Source organism: Homo sapiens, chromosome 18 (genome assembly GCF_000001405.40).
Source record: "Homo sapiens chromosome 18, GRCh38.p14 Primary Assembly".
NCBI lineage: Eukaryota > Metazoa > Chordata > Mammalia > Primates > Hominidae > Homo > Homo sapiens.
The window spans coordinates 13,732,190-13,745,119 of NC_000018.10; the positions used below are offsets into that span (position 1 = coordinate 13,732,190).

At 36.3% G+C, this 12,930-nt stretch overlaps 1 protein-coding gene across 12 annotated transcripts in view; it reads left to right on the forward strand.

The window, feature by feature from the left end:
• The window catches only part of RNMT (RNA guanine-7 methyltransferase), a 37,884-nt gene that overhangs the window by 5,517 nt on the left and 19,437 nt on the right, over nt 1-12,930 (forward strand). For all 12 annotated transcript variants that reach the window (NR_165427.1, XM_047437908.1, XM_047437907.1 and 9 more), the window contains 5 exons: nt 2,275-2,410; nt 4,821-4,946; nt 7,978-8,090; nt 9,321-9,502; nt 10,299-10,463. Coding sequence is in view for 11 of the 12 variants with exons in the window: in XM_047437908.1 (XP_047293864.1) it covers nt 2,275-2,410; nt 4,821-4,946; nt 7,978-8,090; nt 9,321-9,502; nt 10,299-10,463 (722 nt within the window). In the remaining variant the exon portion in view is untranslated. The remainder of the gene's footprint in view (nt 1-2,274; nt 2,411-4,820; nt 4,947-7,977; nt 8,091-9,320; nt 9,503-10,298; nt 10,464-12,930) is intronic.

Consider the following 12,930-nt stretch of genomic DNA (forward strand, 5'->3'; position numbering starts at 1 on the left):
ATTTAACTAGAAACTTTTTTTTCCGAGACAGAGTCTTGCACTGTCGCCCAGGCTGGAGTGTGATGGTGTAATCAAAGCTCACTGCAGCCACAACCTCCTGGGCATAAGCAGTCCTCCGGCGTTTTTAAAAAGACTAGAGTATGAGATCCAAATGATTTACCTATTTTTCTTTTTTATTAGGTGTTCAGCTCTAGTTTTTTTGTCAGAGGTTATCACTTAAAGGGATAACTTTTAAAATTATACCTAGCTTTACATCCCTTTATTAATGTAATTCCTTAAACAGTTTTCAGCTTCTTATTAATGTATTTTACATACTGTTTTAGTTAAGTGAATGCAAATGCCTAATATTTAGCAAAGATATTATAGGGCAAGTTGTTTTCATCTGGAAGTACCACATTAGAAAGGAATTTGAGGCAGAATCTGGAGTTAGAGGAAAAGATTACTTTAATGAGTAAATAAAATTCTGCCATTGGCCCTTATGAGGAAAGTGACTGATAGTGAGGCTTTTGTCATCAATGGAATGTGAATTCTTGTAACAGAGGGGAGCCCCCCCTTTTTTTTTTTTTTTTTTTTGGAGACAGAGTCTCACTCTGTCTCCTAGGCTAGAGTGCAGTGGTGTAAACTCGGCTCACTGCAACCTCCACCTCCCGGGACCTCCACCTCCCGGGTTCAAGCGATTCTCCTGCCTCAGCCTCCCGAGTAGCTGGGACTACAGGTGCCCACCACCATGCCTGGCTAATTTTTGTGTTTTTTAGTACAGATGGGATTTCACCATATTGGCCAGGCTGGTCTTGAATTCCTGACCTTGTGATCTGCCCACCTCAGCCTCCCAAAGTGCTGGGATTACAGGCATGAGCCACTGCGCCTGGCTGGGAGCTTGTATTTTAAACATAGTTTTCAAACTTTTACTAGCCCCAGAACCCCTTTTTCAACTGAAAATCTTACACTTAAACCTGTTACGTAAAATAGGTCAAGGATTTGTTTGAAAGGCCTTTCAGCACATCAGTGAGATTCAGCACTTTGGCTGAAAAGGGAGGTAGGAGGATCCGAAGCCCTTTACCTATCATGGCATTTTTACAGGATTTCTAGGGCCTCAGGAAGCACAAATTGAAAACTGTTGGGTTACATGTAACATATATAATAGCATTATTATAATAGAAATCACTAACGCTGCACATAGCCTACTGAATTCTAATCTCTCTTTTTTTTTGAGAGTCTCGCTCTGTTGCCCATGCTGGAGTGCGGTGGCCCGATCTCGGCTCACTGCAACCTCCACCTCCTGGGTTCAAGCGATTCTCCTGCCTCAGCCTCCTGAGTAGCTGGAATTACAGGTGTGCACCACCATGCCCAGCTAATTTTTGTATTTTTAGTAGAGATAGGGTTTCACCATGTTGGCCAGGCTGGTCTCAAACTCCTGACTTCAAGTGATCCTCCCACCTGGGCCTCCCACAGTGCTGGGATTATAGGTATGAGCCACCTCACCCAGGCCTAATCTCTTTATATACATTATCTTATTTAATTTTCACAACAGCTTTATAATAATAATGTAATTATAGCTTATTCCTAATTTATTCCTTTGTAGAAACACCAAACATTGACTGTCATTTATTGAACTGAATAAATCAGAACTCTGGAAGAGTACTGGGTTTATTAAGACATTGACACTAAAATTAATGCAGATGAAATATCACAATGAAAATTTTAAACCTAGAGATGTTTTTCAAAATAAGGTGATATGGTTTGGGTGTGTCCCTACCCAGATCTCATCTTGAATTATAGCTCTCATAATTCCCACATGTGTGGGAGGGACCTGATGTGAGATAATTGAATCATGGGCGCAGTTCCCCATACTTTTCTCATGGTAGTGAATAAGTCTCACGAGATCTGATGGTTTTATAAGGGGTTTCCCCTTTTACTTGGCTCTCATTGTCTCTTGCCTGCCGCCATGTAAGACCTGCCTTTCACCTTCCACCATGATTGTGAGGCCTCCCCCGCCACGAGGAACTGTGAGTCCATTGAACCTCTTTTTGTTTATAAATTACCCAGTCTCCGGTACGTCTTTAGCAGCAACATTAAAATGGACTGATACACAGGGACACAGAAAACAAATCTTAGGTCTAATGATAATTAGTGAGACTTCTGTGGTTAATTGCCATTGTTTAGTGAAGTTTACCAATTCTAATAGCATTTTATCCATTCACAGGTCAAATGTTCTGAGGCTTATTTTTACCATGTTCTGATCCTTGATTTTTTTCTATTCTCTTTTATTTTCAGAATCTGGAAGAAGGACACAGCTCAACAGTGGCTGCCCATTACAATGAACTTCAGGAAGTTGGTTTGGAGAAGCGTAGTCAAAGTCGTATTTTTTACCTAAGAAACTTTAATAATTGGATGAAAAGTGTTCTCATTGGTATGATCCAACACCAAGCTACTGAGTCTTTAATTCCTATTCATTTAATTATCAAACCTTGACTTTATAAAGCTAGAGCCAAGACTAGGTCTTGAAGACAAATTCTTCTAATATTTACTTTTGGTTGACTGTGTAAGATTTTAATGAGTGTTTAATTATTATGTTAATCAGGTTTTCAGAAGGCAATATTTTTTTTAATGCACAGAATTAAGGTTACCTAGTACTATTAAGTAATGATTCTATTTTACTCTAATAGTTTTGGAGCAACTGCATATTGTTGGTTAAACATTCAGGTTTCATTAAGTCAAGAAATAGGCAGTGTCTTGATTTGTTTAGGCCTTCAATTAGTTGATAAAGATCATGTGTATTACATTGAGGATAGATAAAAACATTCAACTTTTTTGAGCCAACATTTTATCTATGGAAACTCACCTTTGAAATTAAAATGAAAGTGAACAGAGAAAATATGATTCAGAATACAATTCTTGTCGGCACCGTAAGATAGGGTAAAAAAAAGAATATAATTATTGCTCTGTATATTTAGTGCATTAAGTAGACTCTTAGATAAATTTAGAGAACTTTAAAAAGTGGTTTGTTTTAAAATTTTTCATAATAAAGATTTTTTTAAAGCCAGTCAAAGAAGAAGTGAGAATGCTTTCTTAATTATGCTAGAAAGAATAAAGTGCTAATTATGGGTACTTCCTACTAGTTTTGATGATAATTTACTAATTTTCAAAGATAAATTACCTAATCTGATAAGTATTAGCAGTAGGAACTAACTAGGCTTACTTTGAACACATTTTAACATTTTGTATATCACTTGTTTTTAACATTCATGTTCTGTTACAAAAATATTTATTTGACTCTGCCATGTGTCAGCTTAGGCTAAATGAGTGTTCACTTTTTTTTTTTTTTTTTAAGATTAACGTAATGGCATTTTCAGTCTCTACTCACAAGGTTCTCTCTCTACCCCAGTCCTAATTTCTTTTCAGCCTTTCTCTTCCTTCATTACCCTCAATGATGCAGATAACTTATTGGATTTTTTATGAATACTTATTTATTCATGTATTTTTTTATTGAATAACTTTTTCGAGTCCATATTTTCCACATTGTTACATGTATTATTTCTATAATCAGAAAAGAGGTATTTTTTTTTAAAGGACTGAAGTCAGAGTTGGCAAAATTGTCTCTTGGCATATACAGGGTATTCTTTCCTTTTTCAGCTGTTCTAGCAGCTCTCTTGATGTGTGCTTTGCACCTGTGTTTAACATCCTAATACAATCAGTGTGATCTGTGCCAAGCTTTCTCTCTGGCTGTTTCCTTTCTCAACACTCATTCTTTGTCACTCATTTTCTCTTTTTTCTTGGTGCTTGTAGCTTGGTAAGTAAACAGTTGAGTATAGTTCTTGAATGTGATAAAGGCTTTTTTGAAATTGTTTCTTGATGATTTCCTCTCTCGTTAGTCTTACTGTATATAAATGCAGAGATTTTATAATTGTTTTTCGCTCTTTCAGTATTTTTATGCTATTAAGATTCATGGCAGAAAGTTAAATATTATGGAACATTTGTGCTTCTGTTGAAGTTACTTTAAGTTCCTGCAGAAGGTGAAAGTACTTGTACAGGATATTTTTAGCCATCAAAATAATACACACCTGAAAGTGTCCAGCTCAGTGATAAAGACAAGGAGAATGTATCTAGGATTCAGTATTGTATCAAGTTTTAGAACTGTTGAATACTTAACTTGCCTGAGAATATTAATATGCTTTTAATCGACGTTTGAACAATTTGCCTATTGATGTTTGGTTGCCTACTGATTTTATCTGTTGGCTGTTAATGTCATTTAGTAGACTGGGGTCTACCAAATACTGATGATGCTAAAACTAAAAGACATAGTGCTTTTTTTTTTTCTAGTTTTTATATTTCTCTTGGTGGTAAGCCTGACATCTTTGATAATCAGGCTCTTTTATCATTCCATAACAACTTTGATTTACTTACGTGTCTACTGTTAAACACCTAGCTATGGAAAGAGAAAGCTACAAAAAAAAATATGAATAATTAGTTTTTCTAATCCTTACTTAGCTTTTTCTCTCATCCTGAACAAGTGTTGTGTTGTCTTATATTAGAATTTTAAATATCTGCTATTTAAAATTCATTTTTGAAAGTTAACATTCAAAATGCTGCCTTTATTTTCCAAAACACCAGACACGTACTCTTTAATGATAGAGGATCAGATTAATCAACTCTTAGTCATATTTTTAGTTACTTATCAGAAGTTACAAATTACATAAATGGATGTGTAATAGTTTATGTTACATATTGGGCAAAAGATAGTAGGTTATTAGAGGTAACAGTTTATACTTCAGTAAAATTGAAGAAGAGGTAGTTTATTGTGACTGATTTCTCTCTTTTAGGAGAATTTTTGGAAAAGGTACGACAGAAGAAAAAACGTGATATCACTGTTTTGGACCTGGGATGTGGTAAAGGTGGAGATTTGCTGAAATGGAAAAAAGGAAGAATTAACAAGCTAGTTTGTACTGGTAAGATAAATAATGATATGGGAAAGAATAATTTGTAGTCAGATAAATGGAAAATAAGAAGGATTGTCTCAAATTGCAAGATATCTGGGACTATGCATGAGATGGGTTTTTTTTAAATTAATTACGGCCTGACGCGGTGGCTCATGCCTGTAATCCAACATTTTGGAAGGCTGAGGTGGGTGGATCACTTGAGGTCAGGAGTTTGAGACCGGCCTGGCCAACATTGTGAAACCCTGTCTCTACTAAAAATACAGAAAATTAGCTGGGCATGGTGGTGCACACCTGTAATCTCAGCTACTCAGGAAGCTGAGGCAGGAGAATCACTTTTACCTGGGAGGTGAAGGTTATAGTAAGACAAGATCGCACCACTGCACACCAGCCTGAGTGACAGAGCAAGACTCCGTCTCGAAAAAAAAAAAATTAGTTACAAGACTTTCCTGATAGTTTCATAGTAAGATTAATAAGCCTGGGATAACGTTTCCTTCCCAAAAGGAAGGAAGCTATCAAAGATGGTCGGAGTCATGTCTAAAGGGCAGACTTGAAAAGGTTTCCATTGGCAAAAATAGGGCAATTTTAACATTAAAAAAAAAATAGCAGTTGGACACATCAAATCAGAAAAACACATTGTTCACCCTTGAAGGTTGCTAAGAAACTATTCTGAAACTTATAAATTAAGGGGAGGAAATCAAACATTTGTAATCAGATGGTTGAAAAGGGCAGTTCCTTTTTTTTTTCAATCAGATAAAGAGGAATTATAGAATTAGAAAATCATAATTTTTTTCATTCTTTATGAAATAATAGATCTAGGCAATAATTTTTTTTTTTTGCTACGGAAGCCATTAAGGGAAAAGTCGATAGTAACGCAATGAATCAATCAATCAATCACCTTAGCCCGGTGGTTAGTCTTAACACTGAAGTGGGACAAGCAGACGTCAGCGTCTTTCTGATGTGGTGAGTTAAAAGAGATACATACCCCCACTACTGAAGTACTGCCCAAATTAGCAGTTCTCAGATTTTTTGGTTTTATGAGCCCTGTATACTTAAAAATTATTGAGGACCCCAGAAAGCTTTTTTGTATGTAATTATGGTAAGTAGCTACTGATATTTACTATATTGGAAATTAAAGCTGAGAATTTTGAAAATATTTTTTAGTTCATTAAAAGTAACAAGGCTGGCTTTTACATTTTTGTAAATCCCTTTAGAGTTTGAAATTGCAGGAGACAACTGGATTCTCACACCTGTTTCTGCATCCAATATGTTGTGATTTTATTTTGGTTGATAAGTAGTTGTAAAATAAAGAAGTATTTTAATAGCCTTTTTTGATAATTGTAGATATTCCTCTGTTACTACATCAAAACTCAGTAAGTGGTAGTTTCTTAAAGAGTAGTTACAATATGGAATCTGAAACCTTAGTGATGAACTTTTTATACCGTGTAACATTAAAATCCATTAATCTGTCTTGCACTTCCTGCATGATTTTATAGTACTTGGAAAATACTGTTCACTAAAGTTATGCAGATCTAATTGTTGAGAATCAAAAAATCACGTGTTTAATATCACTGCCAATCAGAAAAGTATTGGGAAGAAGTCCAGCCCACAGTGATCAATACGAGTTTTTCAGGGTTGTAATTCTTATTTGAAAGTCAATTTTATTTTTGGCAACAAATACACTGTCCCTTGTCTCCCTTTAAATTAGCGATCCCTAACCTTTTTGGCACCAGGGGCCGGTTTCATGGAAGACTGTTTTTCCACAGAAGCGGGGGGATGGAATTCTACCTCAGATCATCAGGTGTTAGATTCTCATAAGGAGTATGCAACCTAGCTTGCCTGCCACTCACCTCCTGCTGTGCAGCCTGGTTCCTAACAGGCCGTGGACCTGTACTGGTTTGTCGCCCAAGGGTTGGGGAACTTTAAGTGACAGGTTCACTTTGTTCATTTTCAAGAAAATATGTGCCAGGTACTGAAGTCTGCATAACCGTAGTTTGTCAGTCATTCAAGTCAAAATAATTTTCTCAGAAAAAAAGTGGCCAGTACAGCTCAAAACTCAGAACAGTCATATCAGTACTGTTCTTGAAGATGACCATCATACTTTGTTAGGTAGCAGAAATGTTTTGTTACTTCCCATTTCATCACACAACATTTTAAAAAGTGTGTATTCAAAAGCCCAGGTTTAATAAAATTAATTTTCACTATTTTATAAAGGGTATTCTTAAATGAAACTGTTTTTCTCCCCCTGCATATTGTATAGTGGTGAAGAATACATGAAGTACTGCCAGTACCATTTAGTGCTGCTACTTTGTATTTGTGATAAGATCCCATTGCCTTTGCATTATCAGTGTGAATCTTTAAACAGGGAAAAGGGCAGGCTGGGCACAGTGGTTCATGCCTATAATCCCCAGCACTTTGGGAAGCAAAGGAGGGTGGATCACTTGAGGCCAGAAGTTAGAGACCAGCCTGGCCAATGTGGTGAAACCCCATCCTCTACCAAAAATACAAAAAATTAGCTGGGCATGGTGGCACACAACCTATAATCCTAGCTACTCGGGAGGCTGAGGTATGAGAATCACTTGAACCCTGGAGGCAGAGGTTGCAGTGAGTGAAGATTGCACCACTGCACTCCAGCCTGGGCAATACAGCAAGACTCTGTCTCAAAAAAGAAAAAAAGAAAAGGGCTAATAACATTTTATTATAAAAATATACCCTTGGTATTTCCAAAACTGGGCTTATTGATAGTGTTAGGTTTTATAATTCAGATTGGAATAAAACTTTCTCCTTTTTACTTTGAATAAGCATTTAAAAATCATGATAGAACTTTTATAGCGTCCGTACCTATTGAGACGCTTTTAGTTCCTCTTGAAAACTGATAGGGTATTTGCGTCGGAACAAAGCCCTTTTCTTTTCTTTTAAAGGAAATAAAACCTTTTCACTGGTACTAAGGCTGACTTTTATGCCAGAGTTTGTCAGTTGAGATCAATGTCTAGATTTCTGGCATTCTGTGTTGATACTTACTAATACCCTTCCATCCTTCCAGATATTGCCGATGTTTCTGTCAAACAGTGTCAGCAGCGGTATGAGGACATGAAAAATCGTCGTGATAGTGAATATATTTTCAGTGCAGAATTTATAACTGCTGACAGCTCAAAGGTACAGTTTCTTTCTTTGGTCAATTTATTTTTTACATTTTTAGTTTGGGTAAATAATTTGTTTTAAAAATCAACTCAATTTTTACTTTTTTAAAAAAATTTACTCTTATTTTTTGAGACAGGGTCTTACTCTGTCACCTAGGCTGGAGCACAGTGGCACGATCTCAGCTTACTGCAACCTCTGCCTCCCAGGCTCAAGTGATTCTCCTGCCTCCCAGCCTCCTGAGTAGCTGGGACTACAGGCACATGCCACCACACCCAGCTAATTTTTATATATTTTGTAAAGATGGGGTTTTGCCATGTTGCCAAGGCTGGCCTCAAACTCCTGAGCCCAGGTGATCTGCCTGCCTCCCATAGTGCTGGGATTACAGGCATGAGCCATGGTGCCCGGCTACTCATTTTTTAAAATGTGTTTTGAAACTTTAAAAATCTTGGAATATGCATTTTCACTTTTGACTGGAAATTCTATTATGATAAATTCCCTTGAATGACTCACTGAATACTTGTAATTTTTTGCTTTTAATAATTTGAATTGAAATTAGCTGTTGCTTTTCGGTATGGACATCATTTATTTTCCAGTATTTTGAAATAGAACTGAACTTATACTATGTTTTGTTCACCTTGTAATTTATTAGTTTCCCAACATATCAGAGCCTGTTTGGTTTTTTCCTACCTTCCACCTGTTTCTGAATTTCTTAAAAAGAACTGCTTCAAGGGTGAAAGTCTCACCATGAACTTTTTGTTCTTCATTGACTTATTGACTCACTGAACTGTTATAGATACCTTTAATCATACACATTTTGTTTGAAATTTGAAAGTGAAAAAGATAAGTGGGAGTATACTGCCAGAAAGTTGTAATACCTTTAAAACATTTTTGCATTTTTTAAAAAATGCCAAACGCCAGATGTTTTTTAACTCAAGTTATTGTTGAATGTCATTTTATTTTAGCTGTCAAGTAAAGTGATGAAAGGATCAAGTTGAAATGTCATAATTGACTAATATATTTTAAACATGATTTCAGAATTCCTCAGTTTTTAAATACTGTGAAAGTGGGAATCAAATTATTCTGTTAAACTAGAATACATGCATGATTTCTGTGTGTCCTTTATTGTACAAGGGAAAGATTGTGAGGGAAAGGAAGAACCTTACATTCTAGAAGTTAATTTACTAAAAAGTTTTTAATCTTTGTTGTAGTTACCTCACAATCTTAACTCATTTTAATTTGTTTCAGGAACTTCTGATTGACAAATTTCGTGACCCACAAATGTGTTTTGACATCTGCAGTTGTCAGTTTGTCTGTCATTACTCATTTGAGTCTTATGAGCAGGCTGACATGATGCTGAGAAATGCGTGTGAGAGACTTAGCCCTGGGGGCTATTTTATTGGTACTACTCCCAATAGCTTTGAATTGATGTAAGTACTTCTAAATATATTGTGGTTTATAAAATATTCAGTATTAAGTAGCAAATGTTTATCAGAGGTAGATTTTATTAAAATACGCTATTTTAATCTTATAAGTGTTGAACACTTTCATAAGATATTTGAGTAGACATTCAAAATTTAAATTCAATAGACAAATTTACAGGTGAACTTTTAACAGTTCATCTTTGTGTGTAAGTTAGAGACTGAAGTTATAGTGATAGACAAACTGCAGGTCAGATACACAGGCACAGAGATGAACCAGCTGTCATGAGAGTGATACCTACTTCCAGCTTAATTTTATTGGTGTGACTGTTGGTGATCTTTTAGTATATTGCTTCTTAAAAGTAGCTCAAATCAGGAGAGTGCAGTGGCTCATGCCTATAATCCTAGCACTTTGGGAGGCCAAGGCAGGAGGATTGCTTGAGGCCAGGAGTTTGAGACCAGCCTGGACAACATAGTGAGACCTTGTCTTTACAAAAAATTTACAAATTAGCCAGCATGGTGGCACGCCCCTGTAGTCCTTGCTCAGGAGGCTGAGGCAGGAGGATCACTTGAGCCCAGGAGTTGGTGGCTGTAGTGAGCTATGATCACACCACCACACTCCAGCCTGAATGACAGATTAAGACCTTGTCACTTTAAAAAAAAAAAAAAAAGGTAGCCCAGATATAATTAAAAGGCTAATCAAGTGTGCATCATGTAGTTTTTCACATGCATAATCTGATCAAAATAAGTCTACACTAATCACAATTTTAATCTTTTTATTTTGGTTGGGGGATAACCTTGATAGAAGACGCCTTGAAGCTTCAGAAACAGAATCATTTGGAAATGAAATATATACTGTGAAATTTCAGAAGAAAGGAGATTATCCTTTATTTGGCTGCAAATATGACTTCAACTTGGAAGGTGTTGTGGATGTTCCTGAATTCTTGGTCTATTTTCCATTGCTAAATGAGTAAGAAGTCATTAATCTGTTCACTCTTTTCTTTTTGTCTTAAGGGAAAGAAAAGCGGGGAAAAGCAATATTTATTTTACTCTTTATTTTAAATGAGGGCTAAAGAAAAAGTATAATCTTGTTTTTTTGTTTTTGTGTTTTTAAAAAAAAAAAACAAAACAAGACTAGCTTCACATCTAGGGGATTATTGCCATAGGTCTCATAATAGCCTAACTTAGTTTTCTCTCATTCCTGGAATTTTTTAATCCTGTGGGTGAAAAAGGGAACCAGTTGCCTTCAGCTTGTGGCACAAAATGCCTGACACTGCAAATAGCAAAAGTTTTTTTTTTTTTTTTAGTGACTACTGGTAACTTTGATGATAAACAATGAGTCTTCATAAATCAAAGATCCGGCCGGGCGCGGTGGCTCACGCCTGTAATCCCAGCACTTTGGGAGGCCGAGACGGGCGGATCATGAGGTCAGGAGATCGAGACCATCCTGGCTGACACGGTGAAACCCCGTCTCTACTAAAAATACAAAAATTAGCTGGGCATGGTGGCGCGCGCCTGTAGTCCCAGCTACTCGGGAGGCTGAGGCAGGAGAATGGCATGAACCCGGGAGGCGGAGCTTGCAGTGAGTCGAGATCGCGCCACTGCGCTCCAGCCTGGGCGACAGAGCGAAACTCCGTCTCAAAAAAAAAATAAATAAATAAATAAATAAATAAATAAATAAATAAATAAATCAAAGATCCTCCTTTTGACAGAGATGAGTATTAAAAGTTGTTTGCATTTCACTATAACTTTGAAATTGCCTATGTCTCACAGGCAATGTTGATGATAAAATCCTGATTCAGGAATGTATTCTCCCATGTGCCTGAATTCCTAGGAGTCCTGGCAAACTGTAGACACAGGAAAAGCTGGGGGTAACTGGGCCTTACCAGGTAAGGCTTCAAGGCCTTGTGATACACCTTGGTTTCCAGAGTTTCCCCGGTGGGGAGAGTATAAAAGTCAGCTTAAATGTAGGCCATGTCATGATTGATTGAACTTGATTTTCTACTTTTTAGAAACAAAAATCTTTTGTTTTGAATATTAACTGAGAAAAAGAAGAGGTATATTGTCTGCTTACTTCTGCTTGGTGCTTATTTTAATTGTAACTCAGTCAGTCTGTAAAATTAGGGTTACAGTATTTTCAGGAGTTCTATAATAGCTTATTCAATAATATAAGAAAGCCAAGTAGCATTGTGACTGAACATGAGGAAAATACTGTGCATAATTTTATAAATATAAACCATTTACAAAATTTAAAAATATCAATTACATTTTCCTTTTAATTTTTAAAACTAATAAACTGGGGAAATGTTACTGCTCTTCAACTTTATTTAAAAAAGAACTTAATTGTGGAATGTTATTGAGTATGTTTAATATGTTAGCTTGAGATTTTAGTTAACAGTTTGGTGATTTTAGTATAATCAAAAAGATAATAAAACAAAAGATTTGTTTTAAATGCTAAACAAGACCTAGCGGTCTTCTTTTTTTTTTTTTTTTTTTTTTTTTTGACTTAAATTGCCTAATGATGGTAAACCTAAGTCATCAGTTTAATATCTAATTTTTTAAAAGATTATTTATTGAAACAGTATTGGATGAAATAGAATCTGAAAATGTGTGGGGGTTTTGAGATGCCTTTTTGCCATTTCATTAAGAAATTTAACAGAAATAAGCTTTTTGTGTGGCAAAACTTATTCAAATTGGGCCTCAATTCTTTGAATCATGATTTTTTTAGGTGTAAAACTTGGTTTCATTTCTAAAGGGTTATTTTAGAGATTTACAAACGAAAATGAACTGCCTGGAATAAAAAACTTGGTTTCATTTCTAAAGGCTTATTTTAGAGATTTACAAAAGAAAATGAACTGCCTGGAATAAAAAACTTGGTTTCATTTCTAAAGGCTTATTTTAGAGATTTACAAAAGAAAATGAACTGCCTGGAATAAAAGACTTAATTTTGCTCATGTTGCCTTTCCAAGGAGGATTAATTGAAGTAACAGAATCCTGCCTTACGTATACCTCTTACATAGAAACCTCAGTGGCCCTCCAGTGTTTGCCCTTACCCTATCCCCTCAAATGCCACCCTGTACACGAGCCTTCCCACCTAATTTTCAGGGTTTCTCCCCTTCCTTCCACTCTTCCTTTAACTGCTGCCTGAAGTCATCTCCAGGCTCCCTCTTGTTGTCTACAGATACATGATTATAAACTTGGCAAATGCAGTGAGGAAAAAAACTACCTGAGAGTCTAACGGAGAGACCTAATATAATTAAGATTTAAGGAAGGTGCCTGTAAAGAATCGATGTTTGAGTCAGGATCTAAAGGATGGAAAAGTAGGTGGGCAGCTGAGGACTGGAGGGAAGAATGCTCCTGACAAGAGGACAGCGTGTGTGAGGGCCCAGCAGTGGGAAAGCTAGGCTAGTCCAAGATGTTGAAAGAAGGCCCATCCT